The 24,220-nt window shown below is 55.1% G+C and overlaps 1 protein-coding gene and 2 non-coding genes across 19 annotated transcripts in view, besides 10 other annotated features; all 3 read left to right on the top strand.

Annotated features, from left to right (window-relative positions):
- Nucleotides 1–24,220, top strand: part of TPRA1 (transmembrane protein adipocyte associated 1) — a 27,000-nt gene extending 2,780 nt beyond the window's left edge. For 3 of the 17 annotated variants that reach the window (XM_047447443.1, NM_001353005.2, NM_001353003.2), the window contains exons 2-12: nucleotides 519–652; nucleotides 15,289–15,430; nucleotides 15,580–15,712; nucleotides 18,376–18,462; nucleotides 18,559–18,631; nucleotides 18,756–18,835; nucleotides 19,402–19,512; nucleotides 19,643–19,703; nucleotides 19,947–20,049; nucleotides 20,187–20,267; nucleotides 21,664–24,220. In XM_047447443.1, coding sequence (XP_047303399.1) covers nucleotides 15,306–15,430; nucleotides 15,580–15,712; nucleotides 18,376–18,462; nucleotides 18,559–18,631; nucleotides 18,756–18,835; nucleotides 19,402–19,512; nucleotides 19,643–19,703; nucleotides 19,947–20,049; nucleotides 20,187–20,267; nucleotides 21,664–21,931 — 1,122 coding nt within the window. In that variant the 5' untranslated portion in view covers nucleotides 519–652; nucleotides 15,289–15,305 and the 3' untranslated portion in view covers nucleotides 21,932–24,220. Of the gene's footprint in view, nucleotides 1–311; nucleotides 653–3,501; nucleotides 3,563–4,372; nucleotides 4,570–4,718; nucleotides 5,043–7,291; nucleotides 7,469–11,006; nucleotides 11,137–15,288; nucleotides 15,431–15,579; nucleotides 15,713–18,375; nucleotides 18,463–18,558; nucleotides 18,632–18,755; nucleotides 18,836–19,196; nucleotides 19,268–19,401; nucleotides 19,513–19,642; nucleotides 19,704–19,946; nucleotides 20,050–20,186; nucleotides 20,268–21,663 lie in introns of those variants that run through there. The other 14 variants (XM_047447440.1, XM_047447441.1, XM_047447442.1 and 11 more) reach the window with 13 other exon arrangements.
- Nucleotides 4,067–4,396: a silencer, noted in NCBI's record as "silent region_14690". NCBI's record gives its function as "represses an Ori minimal core promoter by ATAC-STARR-seq in GM12878 lymphoblastoid cells {active_cell/tissue: GM12878}" and the evidence as "EXISTENCE:reporter gene assay evidence [ECO:0000049][PMID:35858748]".
- Nucleotides 4,897–5,366: a silencer, noted in NCBI's record as "silent region_14689". NCBI's record gives its function as "represses an Ori minimal core promoter by ATAC-STARR-seq in GM12878 lymphoblastoid cells {active_cell/tissue: GM12878}" and the evidence as "EXISTENCE:reporter gene assay evidence [ECO:0000049][PMID:35858748]".
- Nucleotides 4,897–5,776: a biological region, named in NCBI's record as "H3K27ac-H3K4me1 hESC enhancer GRCh37_chr3:127308519-127309195".
- Nucleotides 5,100–5,776: an enhancer, noted in NCBI's record as "H3K27ac-H3K4me1 hESC enhancer chr3:127308519-127309195 (GRCh37/hg19 assembly coordinates)". NCBI's record gives its function as "activates a minimal SCP1, AML or CMV promoter by ChIP-STARR-seq in primed H9 embryonic stem cells {active_cell/tissue: H9 hESC(primed)}" and the evidence as "EXISTENCE:reporter gene assay evidence [ECO:0000049][PMID:30033119]".
- Nucleotides 5,777–6,454: an enhancer, noted in NCBI's record as "H3K4me1 hESC enhancer chr3:127307841-127308518 (GRCh37/hg19 assembly coordinates)". NCBI's record gives its function as "activates a minimal SCP1, AML or CMV promoter by ChIP-STARR-seq in primed H9 embryonic stem cells {active_cell/tissue: H9 hESC(primed)}" and the evidence as "EXISTENCE:reporter gene assay evidence [ECO:0000049][PMID:30033119]".
- MIR7976 (microRNA 7976) lies at nucleotides 8,276–8,341 on the top strand. Its single transcript, NR_107016.1, has one exon. It is a non-coding gene; the product is annotated as a microRNA 7976 (primary transcript).
- Nucleotides 14,854–15,815: an enhancer, noted in NCBI's record as "H3K27ac-H3K4me1 hESC enhancer chr3:127298480-127299441 (GRCh37/hg19 assembly coordinates)". NCBI's record gives its function as "activates a minimal SCP1, AML or CMV promoter by ChIP-STARR-seq in primed H9 embryonic stem cells {active_cell/tissue: H9 hESC(primed)}" and the evidence as "EXISTENCE:reporter gene assay evidence [ECO:0000049][PMID:30033119]".
- Nucleotides 19,417–19,995: an enhancer, noted in NCBI's record as "H3K27ac-H3K4me1 hESC enhancer chr3:127294300-127294878 (GRCh37/hg19 assembly coordinates)". NCBI's record gives its function as "activates a minimal SCP1, AML or CMV promoter by ChIP-STARR-seq in naive H9 embryonic stem cells {active_cell/tissue: H9 hESC(naive)}" and the evidence as "EXISTENCE:reporter gene assay evidence [ECO:0000049][PMID:30033119]".
- Nucleotides 19,963–20,142: a silencer, noted in NCBI's record as "silent region_14688". NCBI's record gives its function as "represses an Ori minimal core promoter by ATAC-STARR-seq in GM12878 lymphoblastoid cells {active_cell/tissue: GM12878}" and the evidence as "EXISTENCE:reporter gene assay evidence [ECO:0000049][PMID:35858748]".
- Nucleotides 19,963–20,575: a biological region, named in NCBI's record as "H3K27ac-H3K4me1 hESC enhancer GRCh37_chr3:127293720-127294299".
- Nucleotides 19,996–20,575: an enhancer, noted in NCBI's record as "H3K27ac-H3K4me1 hESC enhancer chr3:127293720-127294299 (GRCh37/hg19 assembly coordinates)". NCBI's record gives its function as "activates a minimal SCP1, AML or CMV promoter by ChIP-STARR-seq in naive H9 embryonic stem cells {active_cell/tissue: H9 hESC(naive)}" and the evidence as "EXISTENCE:reporter gene assay evidence [ECO:0000049][PMID:30033119]".
- Nucleotides 20,121–20,186, top strand: MIR6825 (microRNA 6825). Its single transcript, NR_106883.1, has one exon. It is a non-coding gene; the product is annotated as a microRNA 6825 (primary transcript).

Below are 24,220 nucleotides of genomic sequence, written 5' to 3'. Positions count from 1 at the left end.
GTAGGATGCAGGGAAGTGAGAAGGGTGAATGTGAGTTACTAGTTGGAGGCTGGAGTGCTTTTATGTCACCCAAAGATGTATGGGTCAGAGAGGCATTCCCAGGTGTGGAATGGACTGTGAGAGCTGGGACAGGCACTGGAGTGGGATATGGCTTTTTCTCAGATGAGAGGTTCTTGGACATGTTTAAACACTGGTTGGGGGCAGGGTAGGAGAGACAGAAAGGTGGGTGGGGTGAGTAGGCAGCCTCTATTATGGCCCTGATGGCCCTTGCCTTCTGGTATTCACACCCTTGTGTGATCTCCTCCCAACAGCATAGGACAGATGTGGTTGGATGTTACTTTGGAGATTCAGTTACAAAAAGACTGCAGCTTTGCTCACTCTGAGAGAAGGCAGCATCCATGTCTTGAGGACACTCAGGCAGCCTGGGACAGGCTTGGGGAGTGAGGAGCTGGGACCCCAGCCAACAGTCATGCTGGACTTGCTCCAGGACACATCACCTTGGGGTTTGCTCTTCCCAGGTCAGTAGGCATCCAGCGCTGGGGCAGCTGCTTCAGGACATCGCCGAGGACAAGTCTCCTCCCCATTCTGGTTCCACCATCTGTAGCCTGTGGCTTTCATCCTCAAGGGCTCCATGCGACCGCTGCACATCCAGGTACTACATCTGACCCATGTATTGAGCCAGCTCAGCTGTGATCAAGCGCAGCCTTTTTCCTCCGTAAGAACTGCCCATTGGCGTAGTTGTGAACTGAGGCAGAGGAGCTGCTGTGGCAGTGGTAGGTGATGTGGATGTACAACGGATTGCTTACAGTCTCAGTGGATTGCTGCTAGGCCCACCCACCTGAATTTACATATTAGAGGGCCTGACAGAACCCAGTTCATGAGGGGCAGCTCTGGCCTCATGGTCACTTGATGTCCCCTAGTCATCTCTACCAGGGTCCAGTAGCCTGGCAGAGCTGCTTTGTGAATGGTGTCTAGTTCTCTACTATAGATGACCTGGTCTTGCTCCAGAACCCTAGGGGGTCTACTTTGTGGTTTTTCCCACCAGAGCTTGCTGTAAGCTTCACACAGCATATCTTCCCACCATGTATGCCTCTAGTATCATGGGGTCTGTGGGTCCCATAGCCTGAGGGACAGCCTTTGATGTCATGTGACCCAGAGATATGTGGGTCAGAGCAGCACTCCCAGGTGTGGAATCTGCTACCTCCAGAACCCAAAGAGGCCTCTAAGCATTGTGCTTGCTCTTCTGTGATGGAGTGTGCAGGGGGATGTTCTGGTGTGCCCCACACCACCAGACCCCTACAAACCTCACTGATGTGGCAAGCCCCTAATTCTTCATAGGGTTTAATCTTCTGCCCGCTGGAGCACATATGTCTCATCAAGTTTTCCATGTACTTGTCACCTCCTGCTCATCCATCCTGATTAGCACATTGTCATTGACACCATGAACCAGTGCAGTGTTCTGCAAGACGTTCAGATGGCCCAGTCTCCTTCAGACTGTGATGACAAAGGATGGGAAAGGTATCATTGGCCTGGGGCAAGACCATATGTGTGTATTGTTGGCCGTTCCTATGAGTGCAAATGGTCCCTGATAGGGATGAAAAAGTGTGGTGATCAGATGGCCCCTGAGAAGCGGGGGCCGTGCTGATCTGTCTGTGCTAGCAATGCACCTGCACAGCACCTGTGGTCAGGGCTACCACTTGGCTGAATCTGCAATAGTCCATTGCCACTCTGTTTATTTTTATAAGGTCAGACTGATGAATTAAATAGGTACATGGTGGGGGATACCCTCCACACGTCTTTGGTCTTCAAGGGTGGCACCAGTCTCCGCCATTTTCTCTGGTGTGTGATGTTGTTTATGTGCTTGCTCTCTTGGCCGGGGTGGGTGGTGGTGATAGTGGGGTCTCAGAGGCTTTCACTTGACTTTTACTACCATCACTCTCACCCCATAGACCAAGGAACCAGTGCAGGCATTTTGTTTACTACACAGGATGTCTATCCCAGTGATATATTGAGCTTGATCTTGATGGTCCTATGACAGTTGCACCCACTTTGCTTCTCACGCCTAAGCACTACCATCTGGCGTCTGTTATCTGGGGATTGCTGTCATCCCCATGGCTATCAGGGAGCCCAGTTCTGTAGCAGCATCTCCTACTGTCAGCCGTGGCCACCCCTGAGCCTGCTGTAGGGTGATGAAGAACCTGAGAGTCAGATCTGTTTATTAAGCTACTATTCATTTAATGTTGCAGATGCCACGCTCTGTCCTGTGTGTAGTGGATACTGCAGTGAATTAGCCACTGCCTCAGCTCTCAAAGGCAGATACCTTTGGTTATTTCACAAATACAACAAAATCCCACAGAAACTTAGATATGGGGTTCAAAACTCAAGAGAAGAAAATGCAGAATTCTCCAAGTCTCAAAAGGCAGAAAAATAAAAATAGAGGGTTTAAGATTCTTCCTGGGGCCTGAAAGCTTAAGATGAATAACTCCTCCCTTCTCAGGCCCAGTTCCAAGGTGCAAGGCTACTTGTGCCAGCAAGATAGCAGAAGCAGGACAAGAGCTGGCTGGAAGACACCTACCGTGGTGGGAAGACATGTACCCGTGAAGATCGAGAAAGAGTCCATCCGGGTACAACGTAGCAGTTACGTCAGACTAGGACACTTCCTGTTTACAGGAGACTATAAAACCTTTGCCGCGTCCTCACTTGGGGCTGATGCCATTTTAGGCCTCAGCCCACCTGCACCCAGGCGCTCATTAAAACAGCATGTTGCGGCCGGGCGCGGTGGCTCACGCCTGTAATCCCAGCACTTTGGGAGGCCGAGGCGGGTGGATCATGAGGTCAGGAGATCGAGACCATCCTGGCTAACAAGGTGAAACCCCGTCTCTACTAAAAATACAAAAAATTAGCCGGGCGCGGTGGCGGGCGCCTGTAGTCCCAGCTACTCGGGAGGCTGAGGCAGGAGAATGGCGTGAACCCGGGAAGCGGAGCTTGCAGTGAGCCGAGATTGCGCCACTGCAGTCCGCAGTCCGACCTGGGCGACAGAGCGAGACTCCGTCTCAAAAAAAAAAAAAAAAAAAAAAAAAAAAACAGCATGTTGCTCCACACCGCCTCGTGTTGTGTGTCGGCGCGCTCGCAGGGTTCGAACCGATACAAGAACCTTACAGAGGGTAGTTATTAGGCCTGGTCACACATGTCCCATGACTTCTACTTCCTGGCACATGGTAGGGTGGCAGTTTCCTGCCCTCTGGAGGCTAGAAGCGGTGGCCAATTGAATGTGCGTGAGAGTGATGTGTATAACTTTCTGGGAGGAACTTGAGGAGCCACTGGATTCCCCACGGCTCATTGTGGCTGTGGTCATTCGTGATTACGCAGGCCGGCATTGCCCAGCCTCTCTGGCGAATATAGAAGCCTAAACTTAGGTATGCACATTTGGGTGTGGTCCAGGCTGGGAAAGTCCCAGAGGATCACAAGGTGGTTTCTTCCCCAATCTCCCTGTGTTTTTAGGACAGGAGCAAGGAGAAGAATGGGACCCAATCTCATTCCAGCCCAGCGGTGCTGTCGCAAGGTGTGAGTCTTGGGGTGCCTGTAATAACTGAGTGCCTACAATCTGCACGAGGCTCTGAGTCAGCCTCAGGATGCTGCAGGGGACATCCTGCAGCTTGGCTCTCTTGGCTCCATCCTCATGACGCTGGAATTCTATAATAGGGTGGGGAGACTGGACGGGGAGGCAGGTAAATGAAAACAATCAGGTGAGAATTAAGATGCTCGGAAGGAAATGAGACTGGACAGCCGCTCCAGCGAGGGTGTCCACAAAACCCTCTAGAGGACATGATGTGGCAAGGAGCCAGCTCTGCGGGGGAACAGGTGTAGAGCCAGGAGCAGGAACAAGCTTGGAACAGCCGAGGGACAGAAACAGAGACCCGCATGGCTTGAGTATGGTGAATGCAGCATCGATGCCAGGGGATAAGACAGGCGCAATCAGGGAGGGCTTTCCAGAGGAACAGGCGTGAAGAACTGTGGAAGTTAGAGTTGGGGAGAGGCGTCCTGGCTGTGTCGCTTCCTCATTGCGCGGCTTTGGTCAAGTTATTTGACCTCTCCAAGCCTCAGGTGGCCCTGTAAAAGGTGACTATAATGACTGCCTAGCAGGGTTGCTAAGAGGAGTGCCCGAGGCATGGCGGCGCCGCGTGGAGCAGGGCGCTGGGAGGCGGCGGCCCTGCGGCGTGGCGCGGCTGGAGCGCGTGGCGCCGGGGAGGGTCCCCGACACGCCTTCCCCCAAGCTGACCCCAGGTCACCCCTGCAGGGCGCCCGAAGCGCCCGCACGCGAGGGGGCGGTCCCCGGAGGCTCCGCCCCGACGGTCCGGCCGCGGCCCAGGCCGGGAGGTGGAGCGCGGCTGCCGCCAGCTGGTCCACTGACAACTGCTGCCAGCTGGAAGGCGCGTAGGGCGAGAGGTGGCGCGTCCTCAGCTTTCCAGTCTTCGATTCCGCCCGCTTTCCGAGTGAGAAACGCAGGCCTCTCTCTTCCGTGAAGCAGCGTCTTGTCTCTGCACCTCCTCTGTGCTGTCTCTTTAAGAGGTCAGCGGGCTGCTCCGCCTCTTGGGAATTTGATTGGTCTCTCCCACTTTTTTTTTTTTTTCCCCCAGTGATGACTTATTCCTATAGGCTGCTGGAGGTTAGAGGGCGGGCCTGAGTGATAACAGGGACTCTGGGACTCTGGGACTTGTGGGACTGTGGCCGTTTTCGCAATTTGGGCTGGACGAAAAAGACGGTCTTGCTTTCCCGGTCGCCGCTGTCGGGAAGGGCTGCAGGGTGTCCGCGAGACCCGCGGCCCGGCGAGCTGACCCCGCCTCGCCTTTCCTGCCTAGCCCTCATTCCACGGAGCCGGTCGCGCCCGGTCCTTGCGCGACGCTTCCCGGCCCAGGCCGCCTGGTCTGGCGCTGGAGGCCGGAGTCCCGCGGCCTGTGCTGGATCCGCGCACACCCAGTGGCGGCGGATGGGCGGCCGGGGCGGCCGGGGCGGCCGGTCCTGAGCGCGGCCCGGGCTGTCAGGTAAGGAGGGGCCTTCTCCCCGTCTCCTGCCGCAGCTAGAGGGGGAGCCCCGTCCCTCGCCCCGGCGGGAAGCCCAGCCGCCGTTCCCCTCCTTGCTCCGCGAGCGGCCCATTTCCGCTCGGGCGCAGCTCGGACGGCCAAGGCGGCGTTTGGGAGGGAAGGCCCTGGATGTGGGAACCCACGGGAGGGGTGCCGGGCAGTCGGGAGTCGCTCGGGGCGCGGGGGCACGCGAGGCCCGGGAGGGAGCCGCACGTAGCGGCGTCGGGCTCGGCCCCGGCTGGAGGCAGTGCGGGTGGAGATCCGGACCTCGGCGACCCGGTCCGGCGCGGGGTGGCGGCACGGGCTCCAGCCCCACGGTGGCTGCCCGCAGCGGCCGAGGTGCTCCTGAGCCAAGCCTGCCGCCGGTTCGGGGCTTTGCTGCCCCGTGAGGGGGCCATGTCGAAGCCTCCGCTCCCTCTGGACTCGGGGAATGCAGGTGGGGGCTGGCTTTGCCCTCTTCTCTGCAGTGAGGAGGGGCCGCAGGGTCGTCCAGTCCCCAGCGGGGCTTGGCGGTGCTGGAGATTCAGTTGTTCCCGTCATAACAACCTGTTGAGGGCTCGTGTCGTGCCAGGCCTTGTTCTAGGGGACCGAGTCCTGAGCACTCCCGGGATAGAGAGTAGTAAATACCCAGACGCGGCTCGGGCGCTGGAGACAGCTGAGAAGGGAAGGCTTCTCAGAGGAGGTGTCAGGAGAGAGCTGGGGGAGAGCCAGCCCAAAGGCCCTGAGGAACGGACCAGCTCAGCAGGTGGAAGGCAAGCAGGGAGGGCAAGGTGCAGGTCAGATTGGGCCCAGGCCTCCCCATCTTACTGGGGTCTCCGGCTTAGGACAGGGACCACACGCCTGCCAGCCCCAAGGCCGAAGGACAACAGGGGAGAGCAAAGTAACTTACTTGGCCTCTGCCCTATGGAGCCTTCCCCACCTTGTCACCCCTGGGCTCCACCCCTTCTCACCACCCTTAGGCCCTAGGGTTTGTAAGCTCAACAACCCGTCGGTGTGGGAAGCACTGAGGGCCCCTCTCCCCAGGGTTTCCTATCCGGTAGCTGTGGGTGGGGTTTGGTCAATCCTGTTGCACAGATGAGAGAGCAGGGAAAGCTGAGTCCCAGAGAGGAGAGAGAAGGCCTTACCCAGTCGTTCTCAGCGGGTCCTGCATTGCGTGACCATGACCTGAGCCTAGCCAGCATCCTGTCCCTCAACTGGGTGGGAGGGAGGGAGGCAGAGGCCCCTGGAATGTTGTGAGTCTGGGAGACTCCTCCCAGGTGGAAGAAACAGTCTGTCCCAGTTTCCCTGTTCCTGGGAGGCCTGGGGTTGCCCAGGGTGCTCTGCACCGCAGGAATTCCTCCTCTGAGAATCACCCCTGGGCTCCACCCCTTCTCACCACCCCTTCTCACCACCCTTAGGCCCCTATCGTGAGCTGACCAACCCCTCCCACTTCTTTGTCAGTGCTTGGGAGCATCAGTCTAAGAGAACTAAGTAGAGAAGGCTGAGGACTGACCCCTTCTCTGCCTCTCCTCTCCTCTGTATAAGGGGACAGTAATTGTCCTCTCTCCCTTAGAAGGCGATGCCATTGTTAAGTGTGTCACCACGTGTAAAGCACTGAGCACCATGTCTGCACATAGGAAGTGTGCATCCTATTAACTAAAAGTCAGTGCGGGCCAGGCGCAGTGGCTCATGCCTGTAATCGTAGCACTTTGGGAGGCTGAAGTGGGTGGATCATCTGAGGTCAGGAGTTTGAGACCAGCTTGGCCAACATGGTGAAACCCCATTTCTACTAAAAATACAAAAATTAGCCGGGTGTGGTGGTGCACACCTGTAATCCCAGCTACTCAGGAGGCTGAGGCGGGAGAATCGCTTGAATCCAGGAGGCGGAGGTTGCAGTGACCCAAGATCGCACCATTGCACTCCAGCCTAGGTGACAAAGCGAGACTCTGTCTCAAAAAAAAAAAAAAAAAAAAGTCAGTGCTTCAGTTATTTCCTAAGCTTTGATACGTAATGGCAATCCTGGTATGGCCAGCAGCCCCATAACCCCAGTGTGGTTGCTGGATCAAGTAGCAGCAGCAGGGGCACCACCTGGGAGCCTGTGGGAAACACAGACTGTTCAGCCCTACCCCTGCCCTTGGGAGCAGCATCTGCATGTTAACAACACCAGGGTATTTCCCACATCAGGTCTGAGAAGATAGCTCTAGAACAAGCCTGGTGCTCTTGACCCACAGGTGGAGAAGCCGAGGCCTGGAGAGGGGCACCTGGCAAGTTGTTGACTGGGGGCCTGGGCTCTGGAGACAGACAGCCTGGATTGCTGGCCTGGCAAGTGGCTGCCCCTCTGAGCTCCACGTGCACAATGCGGATAACATAAGTACCTCCCTCCCAGGGTTGGAGGCCAGGGCTCAGAGGTTAGGCACAGAGGTTACTACGTTGTTGGCAGGGGAGTGGGGGCAGGCAGAGCAGCTGACACCTCCTCTGTGTTTCCTCAGACCCCACAGCAATGGGGGCTTCACAAGAGGTCCATGGACCTGGGAACCAATTCCTTTCCCTCCTTGCCCTTCAGTCTCTTCTCTGGTAATCCCAGCAACTTGGGAGGCTGAGGTGGGAGAATTGCTTGAACCCGGGAGGTGGAGGTTGCAGTGAGCCGACATCGCGCCACTGCACTCCAGCCTGGACGACAGAGCAAGACTCTGTCTCAAAAAAAAAAAAAAAAAAAGAAAAGCAGCAACCACCTTTGTACATGTGTCACTTTTGTAGATGTTTACATCCCTGGTTTTGTTTGATCCTTACGGCACCCTTATTAGGCAGATGTTGTCCCCATGATACTTGGAGGGGGAGTGACTCACCCCAGGTCACACAGCAAGCACGTGGCAGAACCAGCAGTGCAGCCCCGTCTTGTTGACTCCAAAATCTGTGTTAGCTGGAGGTTTTTCACTGGTGAATTAGAGAAGTCAGACTCAAACTGGCCTAGGCAGAAAAGGGGATTTGTTGGGTTTTATAACTGAAAAGTCCAAGCGGGTAGGACTGGCTTTGGATGTGGCTGAATCCAGGGGCTCCAGTGAGCTCATCAAGATCTGTCTCCATCCGTGTCTCAGCTCTCCACTCCTCCGCGTCGGCTTTACTCTGAGGCGGGTACCTGAGCGTGAGGTCAAGGTGGTACAGCCCTGACTTACTGAGCTCAGCAGAGAGTGTTTCCTCAATTGTCAATGAGAATCTGCCCTGAGACTTTTGCTCTAATAATTTATTCTAATAATAATTTAGATCAAAAGCCTCAGGGCAGATTTTCATTGGCCAGGGTGATGGAACATCCTGACTAGCCAGACTTAGATCACAGGTGCATTCCCTGGGTTGTGAAGGGTTAGTCACGCATCCCTAAACTTCCAGAGAGTCTAGAGTCTGGGAGCTGAGTTTCCACCTCAGGAAAACGGTGCTCTTACCAACTGGCAGCAGCCTGGATGCTGGGCAGGCAAAACCAGAAGCCCACCCCGCCCTCCATACCCTGGACTCTGCCTGACTCCCCCACTCTCCTACTCCCTGCCCCTGTTCCTCCCCACTGGCCTCTGTGCCTCAAGGGGCCTCTCAGCTTGCTGGTGACTGCTGGGTGCCTGGCCTGCACCCTGGCCCTGCCCGTCTTGGGGCTGCGTGACATTCCATTCTGGGTCAGAGTTGGTGCTGGGCTGCTAGGACCAGGCGTTCACTCTGCCTGGCTTGGCTTTATAATAGGGGTGGGGATAGCTGGTCATGGTGGCCCACACCTGTAATCTCAGCACTTTGGGAGGCTCAGGCAGGTGGATCACTTGAGGTCCAGAGTTCTAGACCAGCCTGGCCAACATGGCAAAACCCTGTCTCTACTAAAAATACAAAAATTAGCCAGGTGTGGTGGTGCACACTTGTGATCCTAGCTACTTGGGAGGCTGAGATGGGAAGACTCCTTGAACCCAGAAGGCTGAACTTGGGAAGCAGAGGTTGCAGTGAGCTGAGATTGCACCACTGCACTCTAGCCTGGGTGACAGAGTGAGACTTTGTCTGAAAAATATATGAATAAATAAATAATGGGGTGGGGAGGAGAGGGCTGTAGAATCTCCCTCCTTCATCAGGTCACTGATACTCTCAACTCAAAGTTACAAGTTATTATCTCATGCCACCAGAAGTCATGCAGGAGGCGCGCTGCACACCCGCTTCCAGCTGTAAGCTCCTGCATGCTCAGCGTGGTGGCCCAGTCCTCCAGGGGTGCAGGAAGACAGTTCTGGACACCCCACACAGGCACAGATCCCCCCATGAGGCATCACATGCCTTTGCCTCAACCAACTGCTGGCCAGGAGCAGAAGGGCCACCCTTCTTGACTTCGACCAGAGCCACTCTGCAGGGCATGCTAGCTGTAGGGGAAGACAGTTAGTTACTCATTTGGCAGACTGTCCTATGCATTGCAGACATTTGGCAGCCCTGGACCCTGCACACAAAAAAATCCACAGTCCTCCATTCCCTAGCAGTTGCCATGTCAAACTAGAGCAGTGCTCCACACCGGCTCCACCCCAGAGACCATTGGCTGAAATTAATGGAGACTCAACTTCTGGTCCTGGGGAGGGGCCCCTGCTTGAACACTAGGTTTTATGGAGGGATCCTGAACAAAATAGTAGCTTGTTAGTGAGGAAGAAGGGGACAGTGTCTGGTGGTCAGTGTTGGCCTCAGTTGCAAAACATCCAGTGACTCAGGCCAGAAACTGCACCATCAGCCGTCTTTGGCCTCTTCTCTCATTCCCTGTGTTTGATCTGTCAGTGGGTCTTGTTGGCCAAGCCTCCCAAAGGTCTCCCAAGTCCCTCTGTTCCACCTGCACTGCTGCCACTAGTGCAAGCCTCTGTCCTCTCATGCATGGACTGTTGCAGGAGCTCCTCATGGCCTCCCTGTCTCTGTTCCTCCTCCACTTCAGTCCCTTTTCACTGGCATCCTGTCCCCATGGAAACCAGACCTCTCACTCCTTGTAACACCCTTCTGGTTGCACTTAGAGTGAAGTCGAGTTGCATGTGGGACCTGGCCCTGCCAACCTTTCTGGTATCAGCTACCCTGGCCTGTTTTTTGCCCTTGGGACAGGCCAAACCTGTTTCTACCTCTGGACTTGTGCATCTGGATCTTAGGTGATTCTCCCTGGAATGTTCTTTATCTCGATCTTTCCAAGGCTGGCTCCTGCTTATTTATTGAGATCTCGGCTCAAAATGTCACCTTGTTTGACTACCCAGTCCAAGCAGTACCTTTATATTCATTGGGATTTGGGCTAGCTGTTGAAACAAAGGCTAGGATAATAAAATAGATTATTTTTATCTATGCAGGCAGCCTCTGTGCAAGCTGTCCAGTACATGCACGGAGGCCTCATTGTGCTGGGGACCCAGACACCTTCTTTCTCATTGCTCTGTTACCCTCGTACAGGGTTTCTGCCTCGTGGTCTGAGGAGGCTGCTCTTGCTCCCACTGTCGTATCTATATTCCAGCCACCGGGAAGGGAGGAGGGCATGATCTGAAATTAGCAGACCTCACTCTGCTCGTGTCATATGTTTATAACAAAAAAAAAGTTCTTTTTAAAGACAAGTCAGGGTTTTTATCTTTGTTGGGCCTCTGTTTTAGAGTTTATGTCTTCACACCATGGGATTAGATCAAATGACAGGCTGAAGGACTGTCAGCCTGTCTCAGCTCGTGTCCAGTTGGATAAAACTCAGCCACATGGCCACACCCAGTTGCAGGGAAGCTGGGAAAGGTCCCCATTGTGCTGGGAAGCGATGTGTAAGCTAAACTCCATTGGTTCCATCACTAAAGGGAAGGGTAGATGTTGGGGGAACCCAGCAGTCTCTACTGTGTTTCTTGTCATTCTGCTCCACCTCTCTGTTTTCTTCACTTAGCATTTATCTCTAGAAGTTTGCTTCTTTTTTTTTTTTTTTTTTTTTTTTTTTTTTTTTAGACAGGGTCTCACTCTGTGGCCCAGCCTGGAGTGCAGTGGTGTGATCATAGCTTGCTGCTGCCTGCTGCCTGGAGCTCCTGGGCTCAAGTGATCCTTCCACCTCGGCCCCACCGAGTAGCTAAGACTACAGGTATGCACCACCATACCTGGCTAGTTTTTTAAACTTTTTGTAGAAATAGCGTCTTGCTGTGTTGCTCAGGCTGGTCTCAAACTCCTGGGCTCAAGTGATCCTCCCACCTCGGCCTCCCAAAGTGTTGGGATTACAGGTGTAAGCCACTGTGCCCTGTCAAGTTTGCTTTTTTTTTTTTTTCCAAGTTTGCTTTTTAAATAGGGTTTTCATGCTTGTTGTTGGCTTCACCTTGCTGTGAGGGCAGGGCCTTGTCTGCTCTGTTCCGTGCCACGTCCAACCACCTAGACTTGTGCCTGGCACCCAGTAGGTGCTAGTTAAGGTCTGCTGAGCAAATAAAAGCACGTGTGGGCTGGGCATGGTGGCTCACACCTGTAATCCCAGCACTTTGGGAGGCCGAGGTGGGCGGATCACGAGGTCAGGAGATCGAGACCATCCTGGCCAACGTGATGAAACCCCGTCTCTACTAAAATACAAAAAATTAGCCGGGTATGGTGGCACGTGCCTGTAGCCCCAGCTACTCGGGAGGCTGAGGCAGGGGAATCGCTTGAACCTGGGAGGCAGAGGTTGAAATGAGCCGAGATCACGCCACTGCACTCTAGCCTGGAGACAGAGCAAGACAATGTCTCAAAAAAAAAAAAAGCATGTGTGAATGAAGGGTGGGCTTCTTTGCCCCCCTCCCAACAGTAGGGAAGGAGCCATCTTCTTTCTTAGGATCTACTATGTGTCAGGCATTTGTTCTCTTTAATATTCCCCATCACTTGAAGATTGCAGCTATGGCCTCATTTTATTATTTTTAATTAATTAATTTATTCTTTTTTGAGGCAAGGTCCCACTCTGTCACCCAGGCTGGAGTGCAGTGGCACGATCATAGCTCACTGCAGCCTCGAACTCCTGGGCTCAAGCCATACTCCCACCTCAGCCTTCCTATTAGCTGGGACTACAGGTATGCACCACTATACCTGGCTAAGTTTTGTGTTTGTTTGTTTCTTTTTTTTTTTTTCTGAGATGGAGTTTCACTCTTGTTGCCCAGGCTGGAGAGCAATGGTGTGATCTCAGCTCACCGCAACCTCTGCCTCCTGGGTTCAAGTGATTCTCCTGCCTCAGCCTCCTGAGTAGCTGGGATTACAGGCATGCACCACCATGCCTGGCTAATTTTTTTTTTTTTTTTTTGAGACGGAGTCTTGCTGTGTTGCCCAAGCTGGAGAGCAATGGTGTGATCTCAGCTAAACGTAACCTATGCCTCCCGGGTTCAAGGGATTCTCCTGCCTCAGCCTCCCAGGTAGCTGGGATTACAGGCATGTGCCACCATGCCCGGCTAATTTTTTTGTATTTTTAGTAGAGACAGGGTTTTTCCATGTTGGTCAGGGTGGTCTCGAACTCCTGACCTCAGGTGATCCACCCGCCTTGGCCTCCCAAAGTGCTGGGATTACAGGCGTGAGCCACCGTGCCTGGCCCTAATTTTGTATTTTTTTTTTTTAGTAGAGGCGGGGTTTCTCCATGTTGGTCAGTCTGGCCTCAAACTCCCAACCTCAGGTGATCCACCTACCTCAGCCTCCCAAAGTGCTGGGATTACAGGTGTGAGCCACCGTGCCCAGCCTTTTTTTTTTTTTTTTTGAGACAGAGTCTTGCCCTGTTGCCCAGGCTGGAGTGCAGTGGCACGATCTCAGCTCACTGCAACCTCCACCTCCCGGGTTCAAGCCATTCTCCTGCCTCAGCCTTCCAAGTAGCTGGCATTACAGCTGGACGCCACCATGCCTGGCTAATTTTTGTATTTTTTAGTAGAGATGGGGTTTTGGCATGTTGGCCAGGCTTGTCTTGAACTCCTGACCGCAAGTGATTCGCCTGCCTTGGCCTCCCAAAGTGCTGGGATTACTGGCATGAGCCTCCGCACCCGGCCAATTTTTGTATTTTTTGTAGAGATGAGGTCTTGCTATGTTGCCCAGGCTGGTCTGGAACTCCTGAGCTCAAGCAGTCCTCCCTCCTCAGCCTCCCAAAGTGTTGGGATTGCAAGTGTGAGTCACTACACCCTGCTGTCCTTACTGTTTAGATGGGGACTTGATCCCAGAGCCAGTGAGTGGCCCACTGGAGCAACCTGAGCCCCAGCCCATGGCCCGCCCCCTTCAGAGTCTTCCCTCCCTTTCATCCAGAGGTGTTCTGGTGTTTAAGGGCTTGGACCAGCAATGGAAATATTCCTAAGTCCCCCCACCCCTGTCTTGGGCTGCTATTGTTCAGGGATAGCTTTGGTGACAACACAAGCAGGGCTCCTGTTGCGTTTCTGCAGACCTTGCTGACAGGCATGCAGCTCACTGGGCGGCTCCTTGCTGAAGGGGAGGCCTGGGCCTTTGATGTGTTGTCGGGACAAATCTTTTTTCTTTTTCTTTTTTTTTTTTTTTTGAGATGGAGTCTCGCTCTGTCGCCCAGGCTGGAGCACAGTGGCACCATCTCGGCTCACTGCAAGCTCCGCCACCTGGGTTCATGCAATTCTTCTGCCTCAGCCTCCTGAGTAGCTGGGACTATAGGCACATGCCACCATGCCCAACTAATTTTTTTTTTTTTTTGTATTTTAGTAGAGATGGGGTTTCACCATGTTGTCTAGGCTGGTCCCGAACTCCTGAGCTCAGGCAATCTGCCCGCCTCGGCCTCCCAAAGTGCTAGGATTACAGGCATGAGCCACCGCGCCCGGCCACATCTTTTTTACTTTTTAAAATTTACTGAAGTACACCTATGACTTAGGAGTCATCGGTGTGTGGCTTGATGAATTACCACACAGTGAACACACCTGTGTACCCACCACCTGGATCTGACACCCAGACGCTGGCAGGCCTCCCCCAATTACCATGCGCTTCATCTCCCCAAAGGCGCCCTGTCTGCATTTCTCCACGGATCATACGCCTGTCGGCCCTTGTGCCTGGCTTCACGCTATATCACTTCTGAGAGTCATTCGTGTTGCCTGTAGCAGTGGGTTGTTCTTTTTATGCTGTGCAAGTGTCAACCGTAGGAACCTGCCACCATTTATGCCCATGCTCTGGGGCTGCTCCCCGCCTGGGGCTGTCATCCACAGCCTTTACAAGCATTCCTGGTGAAGCAGAGTCACAGGCATCTGGCCCAATCTGTTCAAATCATTCTAAATGTTGGCATCTGTTACGTTCTGGTGCCCCAGGCCACACCTGGATCACCCCGAACTCCCTGCGGAAGTACCTGTTGCTGCCTCCTGAGAGTCCTCTAGCTTAGGAGTCTTGGTTTTCCGACCAGACCCTCAGTCCCCTAACCCCAGAGTGGTTCCCAGGACCCCAGACCACCAGCTCTCCTGTCTTCCAGGCTAGACTCGACCTCTCATGCTCAGAGTGTCATGTGGACCTCTGGCCTATGGACCCACCCTGTCCCTGGCTTCACCCTGCAGCGTGGCCATTGCAGACACACTTGCCTTGCCCCTCTGTGGTACAGCCTCTTCCCCCATGCCCATCTCCAGTTGGAGACCTCCTGTGCATCTTCTAGGCATGGCTCAGTGTCCCCTCCATCTTTGTCTGTGGTGGCAGAGGGAGACAAGGGCCAGAGGGTGCAACCGAGGAGGGCATGGTGCTCAGCTCTGGCCCTCAGCAGCGCTGTGGCCTCACACAAGTCAGTGGCCTCTGAGTTCTGCATGGTGTGGCAGGTCAGAACCATGGCTGACCGCTACCAAGAACTCCTCACGTGTGTGCCTTGTTTGAGGCACTCGGCATCACCACAGCCTCACTTGTTACACCCATTCCATGGTGGGGGGACACAGGCACGGAGAGGACAGGAAGGAAGGGGCAGGGCTGGGCTGTGAACCCAGAGCCTATGCTCTTACCCACGCTGCTCTCATGGGCCCTCAGGACTGAAAGGAGCCAAGTGGCTGTGCCTTGCACATGGAGATGCTTAGCTGAGGGGGTGGCTTTGTTAGACTATTTGCAGGTCGTGAGATAGAGCCTGAGATGGGGGACTGGGCCCCTGCCTGGGGGATTGGGTCGTGACCTGTGTGGAGCCCCACACTGAGCTGCAGTGGGTGGGGAGGGTGGTTTACAGGGGTGCTCTGTGCAGCCCCTCTGATTTTCCCCTGGGAGTCCCAGGTCCAGGGGAAGGAGGACAGTGGCCCAGGCCACACAGCTCACTGGGCGGCTCTCACTCCCCCAGGGCTGGCTGCTGGCGGGATGGACACCCTGGAGGAGGTGACTTGGGCCAATGGGAGCACAGCGCTACCCCCACCCCTGGCACCAAACATCAGTGTGCCTCATCGCTGCCTGCTGCTGCTCTACGAAGACATTGGCACCTCCAGGTGAGGCAGTCACAACGCTGGGCAGGCTCGCTGAGTGTCAGTGGCTTTTCCTGGTGTAGGGGGGTGGTGAGGGTGGGGCAGATTGTGTCTTGGAGAGGGGGTGCATATGTGGCCTCGCCAGTGAGCCAGCTCCTGTGCCCATCCGCCAGGGTCCGGTACTGGGACCTCTTGCTGCTCATCCCCAATGTGCTCTTCCTCATCTTCCTGCTCTGGAAGCTTCCATCTGCTCGGGCGAAGATCCGCATCACCTCCAGCCCCATTTTTATCACCTTCTACATCCTGGTGAGTTCACTGCAGTTGACAGAAAAGCCAACTCCAACTGGGTTAAACAAAAAGGGAATTAACTGCTTCTATAATGAAAATAAGCTTCAGGTATGGCTGGATCCAGGCAGTTAAATGATATCGTTAGGATCTGTTTCTGCATCTCTGATCTCTTTGGGACTTATCTCAGATGAGTTCCCCTCATATGGTGTCAAAGATGGCCAGGAGCAACTTTGAGCTAACATCCTGCCTCTACAACTCAGGCAAACAGTGCCTGTTTGCTGATAGTGCCAGTGTAGACCTGGGATTTCCTCTGACTGGCCCACCTAGGATCCCATCCTCATCCCTGAGCCAAGCACTGTGGCTAGCAAGGAAAGGGGCACTGTGAAGCTGGGAGGGCAGCATCAGCTCAGCTGGACCATATGGACTGAGGGAGCCCACAACAGAATTGGGGAGCTGGTACTAGAGGGGAGGGGAATGGATGCTGGGTGGGGAAAATGCCCACTGCATCCTCCATCCATTCGTCCCCCATCTGTCCATTCTGTGAAACCTCTTTGGAGAAGACATCTTACTTGCTGGGAGAGCCTGCATTGTCACCACTTGGTGGTCCTGGCACGTGTTGCCTGGGGAGAGGTGTCAGGGCTGTGGTTGAGAAGGCAGCTCCAAATGTGGGCTCTCCTGGTATAGGCTCCAGGTGTGGGCTGTCCCAGTATAGGTGCCAGGTGTGGGCTTCAGGTGTGGGCTGTCCAGGTGTGGGCTTCGGGTGTGGGCTCTCCAGGTGTAGGCTTCCGGTGCGGGCTGTCCTGGTGTGGGCTTCGGGTGTGGGCTGTCCAGCTGCCTTCCTTCAGGGCGCCCTTCCCCTGTCTGCAGGGCCTGCCTGACTGGAGTCCTCCCTTCTCTGTGGCCCTTAGATACCACCACATGAGAGCTGAGTGGCTCCCTGGTCCCCTCCTTGTGGTCTAGCCCAGAACTTCCCAGTCAGAGGAGTGGGCTGTGGGCAGGCAGAGAGACAGACAAGGGGCTGGGGAAGCCTGGAGGTTGTAGTGGCCTGATGTCCCTCACACCTACAAGATGGTGGTAGACAGGACTGGGAACTGAGGCCTGCTTTCTTTGCTTCTCTCCCACTGCTTCTCTCACCATTTATTCATTTGTGTATTTATTCAACAGATATTAAACACCTACTGTATGCTAGGCAGATGTCCTTTTGTGGGGTAAGGGGGAGTGCAGGCAGGGAGAAAGAGCCAGGGCTAAATGTCCAGGAACATATAACAGGGCCCAGCCCATCAACTTTTGGGGACTTTGTCCTAAAGAGTTCAGGAGGCAGTGTTAAGAGTGGACTCAGGAAGTCCAGCTCTGAACCCCAGCCATGCTGCTGTGTGACCTGGGGCCAGTGGCTTGGTCTCTCTGTGCCCCAGTGCCCTTCTGCATAACAGATGTTGATCTGCTTTAGCTATGGTGTTCATGTGAGCACCTATGAAGTCGTCTGCATAGCTGCAGCCCAGTGGGAGCCTGGCATACAGTAGGCGTGTGGTAGTTTGTTGCTTTTACTGCCTGCCCTGCTGACACAATTTCTCATGGCACAAAAGACAGAGTATATATGGATCTGGGCATGTGTCAGAAGACCCAACTGAGACTCACAGAAGCCAGTTTTTGACTGAGAAACTGGGCAGTTCCTGGGCCTCAGGCACAGCAGGATTTGGGGGCACAGCAGTGCTGCTGGGGCACCATCTCCATCTCCCACTCAGCCTGGGATCTCCCCGATGGCCCTGCTCTCTCGCCATCTGCCCTTGTGGCAGCAGGGTGGTGTCCATGGTGCCAGGCTTGCATGCTGTCCGTCTGCCTTTCCCAGCAGCCCCACCTGACATCCTGGGTCTCTCTCACAAGGCTCCCTTGGGGCCTATGCCCTTCCCTGAACTAGCCCTGAGGCCAGGGGAATGGCACACACCACTGGCCAGTGCTGCGTCCCAGGCCCATCCCTGAAGCCAGGAGCGGTGGACTCAGCCTCACCTGGAACCACCGAAGTGGGGGTGAGAAGGGAGAGGAAGGGGATGGATATACCAGGCCGATAAGCACCACAGATGCTGAGCAGGCACTTTGTGAAACCTGCTGGGCTGGTGGCTTCCCTAGAGGTCTCTGCACCTCTTCTCGGTGACCTTTTGCCTGGTCCCGCATGCCTCAGAATTAAAACCATGAATACGGTAATAACAGCAAATGTATACTTGGCCCTTCCTGGGTGCCAGGCAGGCTTCTGCTGCATCTGTTAATCCATTTGACCCAACAATCAAACACAGTAGGTTTTGTTTCTGCCCCCATTTTATAGATGAGAAAGCTAAGGTACAGAGCCAGGAAGCAGCAGCGTGCTGCTTGTGATGTGAACCTGGCCCATCTGGCTCCACCATGCGCACTCCTGCTCACCAGCCCAAGGCTGTTGGTGCTAGCCAGGAAGCTGGGGCCCCGAGAGGGAGGGCCAGGCTGGAAGTCACCTGCAGTTGAGGGTCTGCAACTCTGTGAGCCTTGCTTCCTGGAGTGATCCCCACCTCCCTGTGTCCCACCCTGACTTTGCGCCTTCCTCCTTTCCGACCTCAGGAATCAAAGGCTCCTGTAGATATGGGGGTGGGCTTGCTGCCCCTGCCGATGCAGAGGCTCTTGTTCCCTGACTGCCACACCACTCCCTTGCCCACCAGGTGTTTGTGGTGGCGCTGGTGGGCATTGCCCGGGCCGTGGTATCCATGACGGTGAGCACCTCGAACGCTGCAACTGTTGCTGATAAGGTGCGGCTGGGCCCTCTGAGGGAGGCCAGGGAGGCCTGGCCTGGGGTGGGCTGGGGATGCTGGTCCAGGCTGACGCTGTGCCCACTCTGCGTGCAGATCCTGTGGGAGATCACCCGCTTCTTCCTGCTGGCCATCGAGCTGAGTGTGATCATCCTGGGCCTGGCCTTTGGTGTGTGTACCGCTGGGCTCTTGGGCCCTGGCGATGCTCTCCCCTGCCCCTCCCTGGCTGTGGGCTGACTCTGGAGTGGTCACCTGGGCTGGCTCCTGCCTGCTGACCAGCATGTTTCTTCCAGGCCACCTGGAGAGTAAGTCCAGCATCAAGCGGGTGCTGGCCATCACCACAGTGCTGTCCCTGGCCTACTCTGTCACCCAGGTAAGAGGGTGAGTGTGGGCAGGGGACGCTAGGAGTCAGGGCACCAGGCACCCACTGCTTCTGGGTCTGGGTCAGGTTTCCAGTCTTTATCACCTTCAGAGTTCTCAAAACTTTGCACCTGAGAAATCACATGGGGTGCTTGTTACCGAGGCACATTCTGGGGTCCCCTGGAGATTTGGATCCAGTGGGCCAGGGCGCCAGGATGGGAGGCTCAGGACTTGCCGTTTTAATAAGGAGTTCAGGTAGGGATGGTGCAGGTCCGCAGACCCCCCTGAGAAGCATGCATCTAGAGGCCCCTTTCTTAGATTGGGGGCAGGGACTGCACCTTGTCCATCTCTGCCCCCTTCCCCATGTGACTCAGCCCAAGACTGGGCCGGCTCTGGATGCTGCAATCAGTTGGGCAGGACATGGCCAGGGAGCAGACTGGGGCAGGTGAGTTGAGGGTCAGGCCAAGAGGCTGAACTTGGTGTGGTGGAGAGCTTAGGGGGCTTTGCATCAGGGAAAGCCCCTGGGAGAGAGAAGCCTTGAGATCCTCTCCCTTCCTCCCTTCCTGCTTGCCCCTGCAGGGGACCCTGGAGATCCTGTACCCTGATGCCCATCTCTCAGCTGAGGACTTTAATATCTATGGCCATGGGGGCCGCCAGTTCTGGCTGGTCAGCTCCTGCTTCTTCTTCCTGGTGAGGTTCAGGCTGGGGCAGCTGGGGTGGCTGGGGCCTTAGGGCCAGGTAGGGATTGGATTCCTGGGTTTCTGGCTGTGGGTCTGGGCTGGCGCCCCCAGCACCTTCTCAGCCCTGCCTGTCTCTGTAGGTCTACTCTCTGGTGGTCATCCTTCCCAAGACCCCGCTGAAGGAGCGCATCTCCCTGCCTTGTGAGCAGCTGGCCGGCGGCTCTGGGACAGGCGGGGATGGGAGGGAGTCTACCGGGCCACTGTAGAGCTGGTAGCTGGGAGCTGGAGCTGTAGAGTTCCAGGCTGGGAGCTGGAGAGCCCTGGGTGAGAGGGAGGCCTAGAGGGGCCCCGGGGGACACACCAGGCTTGAGGGTAGTAGGTGCTGGAGGCAGAGCCTGGCCTGTCCAGGGTGGGACCTCACGACCCACCCTGTCCGGCCCCCAGCTCGGAGGAGCTTCTACGTGTATGCGGGCATCCTGGCACTGCTCAACCTACTGCAGGGGCTGGGGAGTGTGCTGCTGTGCTTCGACATCATCGAGGGGCTCTGGTGCGTGGGGGCCGCAGGGTGTCTGCCTCGTGGGGGCATGGGAAGTGGGCGGCAGGGTGTCCACCCGCTGGGGGCATGGGGAGGTGTGGAGTCAGCATGGGGCTAGGAGGCCCCGCGCTGACCCGCCTTCTCCGCAGCTGTGTAGATGCCACAACCTTCCTGTACTTCAGCTTCTTCGCTCCGCTCATCTACGTGGCTTTCCTCCGGGGCTTCTTCGGGTGAGTCTGTGGCCGCCGGCGCCCCCGCGTGGCTGCCGGCGGAACTGCGCCTTCTTCCAGCATGGGTGTGAGGATTGAAGCTGAGAGGCTGTGTATGCATACAGTGCGCATGCGCACGCACATACATACATGCACTTGGGCACACACATACAGATACACATGCACATGCACACAGATATACGCACACCCACCCACATGTGCATGGACACGTGCACATGCACACACGGATGCACAAGCATGCACACATGCACATGCACACACAAACACGCACATACGGATACACACGGGCATATGCACACAAACATGCACGTGCACACCCACATGCATGCATACACACATGAACACGTGCTCAACATATACATACATGTAGATATATGCACATATCCACATATACATACATATATATGCACATTGTATGTACAGTACACACAGACATACTCTCCCCACGAGAGAGAGAGTGACTATGCACGGTGTTCTACATTGCTGGTTTTTATTTAATAATATATTAACTCATTCATTCGCAAGCATTCATTGAGCACCTACTGTGTGCCAGACACTGCTAGAGCCAGAAGATGCGAGGCCCACAGCGGATGCAAATCCTGTCCTCACAAAGCTTGTACCCTGTTGGGGGAAGACTTAAGTGGGGAGCAGGTTTGGGGTGGGAAGTCAGTTGGATTCTCTGGGGGTGAGTACACTGCTGTGCACATGTGCATCTGCAGAAGCGTCTGTGAGATGGGATGCTGAAGACATGGGATTGGGGGTCCCACTCCAGACCTTAATGTGGTCGGAATGTGGGTGTTTTGTCCCCCCTTTCTCACCTGCCAGGTCTTGTGGGGAGGGGATCAGCCTCCCACCTGGGTGAAGCTGGGAGAGGGCCAGACTGGTCCATGGCCCCAGCTTGGATCTTTGCACACAATTTCTCCCCTGAGCCTCAGGCTCCTTTTTGTAAATTGGGTGTAGTGTGTCCCCCTTGGAGAGTTGCCCTGAGGGCCGAGGGACGAGGTCAGAGTGGAGTGGGTGGTAACATGAGCAGCAGGGGTCACAGGAGTGGGGGCGGAGGCCACAGCCAATGTCTCCTGAGTGCTTGGGCAGGCACTGTTGAAGCCTCATGATTTATGTCCATTCTTCCTCCACACGGTGTCCACACACCCATTTCACCATGAGGAAGCAGGCACAGATGCCCCCCGCCTGAGCTCACACAGCCAGGGGGAGGAGGGCTGGGTTCCAAAACAAGTCTAGATGGGCTCTGGGGTCCAGCTCACAGGCCCACTCAGAGTGGGTGTCAGGCGACTGTTGGTCAATTCCTTCCTTATCTGGTGGCCCCATCAGCCTGGAGAGGAAGGCTCTTCCTGAATCACTCAGTGAGGCTTCCATGCCCCTCTTTTCCTTTTATCAGCTCGGAGCCCAAGATCCTCTTCTCCTACAAATGCCAAGTGGACGAGACAGAGGAGCCAGATGTACACCTACCCCAGCCCTACGCTGTGGCCCGGCGGGAGGGCCTGGAGGCTGCAGGGGCTGCTGGGGCCTCAGCTGCCAGCTACTCGAGCACGCAGTTCGACTCTGCCGGCGGGGTGGCCTACCTGGATGACATCGCTTCCATGCCCTGCCACACTGGCAGCATCAACAGCACAGACAGCGAGCGCTGGAAGGCCATCAATGCCTGAGGGCAGCTGCCAGGGCCTGTGGAGGACAGGCCAGAGAGGAGGCCAGCAGGCCCAGAGTCCCCAGGGGAGGAGGACCAGGTCAAGGGACGTTCTGTGGGCAGTAGCCCTGTGTGGCCCTGTTCCCACCATGAGTCTGGAGGCCCCACCTCCCTGGGGCTCCCAATCCCCTTTGCCATCTCTGCTCTCACTGGGGACCCTCCTCCCCTTCCCACCTGCTCTCATACTGCTCAGTGACATGGCCCAGGCTTTCCTTCCAGGGCCATGCTTGGCAAGGTTGGCTGAGGGCACCCTCCTTCTCTGCACCCTTGGCACGAGGGCAGGGCTGGCTCTCCCAATGCCTCCATCCCATCCCCATGGTGCTTTGGCCTCCTCAAAGCATCCACCATGGTGGATGGACTGAAGTGTGTATATTTTCTTGATCTATTTTTTAATAAAAAGGAAAAGGAGCAGAAGGTGCTAATGTGGAGGTTTTGCAGGAATACTGGGGCTGGTTCCTTTCAGGAGCCTGAGGGCTGGGTGAGGGGCTGGGAGGCTCAGGGGGCCTCTGCTCAACCAAGGAGCAGTCCCCAGTGCCCAAGCCCTGGGCTGGCTGCTGGGGAGGTGAAGAGAAACAGGATCCCAGCTGCCGCTGCCCCTGCCCCTGGGCCCATCTGAGTAGGGGGGACAGACATGGAGAGAGAGGAGAACTATGTTTTGTGAGCCAGCCCCTCTCCCTTTGTCAGACACACACTGTTGTCTTGGGCAGCCGGTTCTCTCTGCTCAGCTCCATTAAAACGCAGAATGGACTTACTATTGCCATCTGTAAAATGCGGAGAAGACCCATCCTGCAGGGCCTTTTGTAAGGATTGGAAAACACTAAGCACGAGTGGCTGGCGTACAGTAATGAACGATAAGGATAGCTCTTATTTTTAGCCTCAAGAATAGTGCTTGGCACATAGTAGGCCCCCAGCAGACAGGACTCGGGGACTGATGTTTGTCATAAGGATGGGTGTGGTTGGCTGAAAATGGGAGTAAATCAGAGCAAAGCACTGGGATCATAAGGCATGAGTAGGGGAGAGGGGCCCACTTGTCCCTGCCACTGCCCTTGTACCTGAGTTCGGCTTTGAGCTTTTTGGCAGCCAGAGTGAAAGGGAGTTGCTGCCAGTTATGTAATCCCCAGAGTTGGAGAGGAGGAGCCCATCCAGGACACAGCCAACTGCATGCTTCAGAGCCTGGGGAGGTCTCAGCCCTGGCTGTGGGGACCCTGAGGATCAGGCTGTTGCCCGCCTCCGCGATCAGCCTTTTTTTTTTAGGGGGGAATGGGGTGCCGAGGGCACAAGCTCCAACACAGCTCATGTCTGTGGGGCCAATGTGTCAGGCTCCCTGGGAGGGCCTGGAGGGTTGATAGCGGACAGGGCCAACAGTACGGCCAGTGAGCTGGACTCCTGGGCTGCAGGGGGTACTGCAGGGTGCCCCTGAATGGCATACTTTATCGGGGCCTCTCAGCTCATGTAAAAGCCTGGTAATCAGGGAAGGCAAGCTCACGGCATTCTGAGTGAGCGGGGTAAGGGTTGGGGCCAGCAGGGATTTGACCATCAGATCCACATGCAGTCCAAGATGGCACAGTGTCAGCCGAAGTTTGCTGGCTGCAGTGAATGAGCAGAGAGGCATCAACAGAAGAAAAGAGACCATTTTTATAATTTTTAAGTTTGTTTTTTAAAAATAGGTCATATATGTACATGGCAAGAAAAAAAAAGGTTCATGCAGTACAGGAGGGTATTTGGTGAACGATAAATCTCCCTGTGTGGCACTGAATTCCTCTGTCCCCCTCCTGAAGCACCCAGGGTCTCCATAACCTTCCAGAGCCATCCTGTGTTCACACCAACGGATGTGTATATCATCCCTCTTTCTGTAATGCTAATGTCCTGTAGCTCACTCCAATGGATCTTGGAGATCATTCCATGTCAAGTGGAGGACTGCTTCACCCCTGCAGCTACATATATATGGATATATGGCAATTTATAAACCACTTCCCTTTTGTTTCTGAAAAATTTTGCAACAACAAACAAGGCAACATCAACAATCCTTATAAATTTGCTTTTGGTAACTCATGCAAGTAGAATTGCTGGAGCACACAGTCTTAATTAGTTTTAATTACTCTTATTAGTCTTCTGCAGAGATCAATAGTTGTCCTCCAATATATGTTGTTTTTCTCCATTGGAAGAGAATCCCTGATTTTTCGCTAGATACACAGCTGTCTAGAATAAAGACTGCATTTTCTAGCCTTCCTTGCAGGTGGGTTCTGGCCAA

This window comes from Homo sapiens, chromosome 3, assembly GCF_000001405.40.
Source record: "Homo sapiens chromosome 3, GRCh38.p14 Primary Assembly".
In the NCBI taxonomy this organism is placed as follows: Eukaryota; Metazoa; Chordata; class Mammalia; order Primates; family Hominidae; genus Homo; species Homo sapiens.
This window is presented reverse-complemented; position numbering and strand designations above follow the sequence as displayed.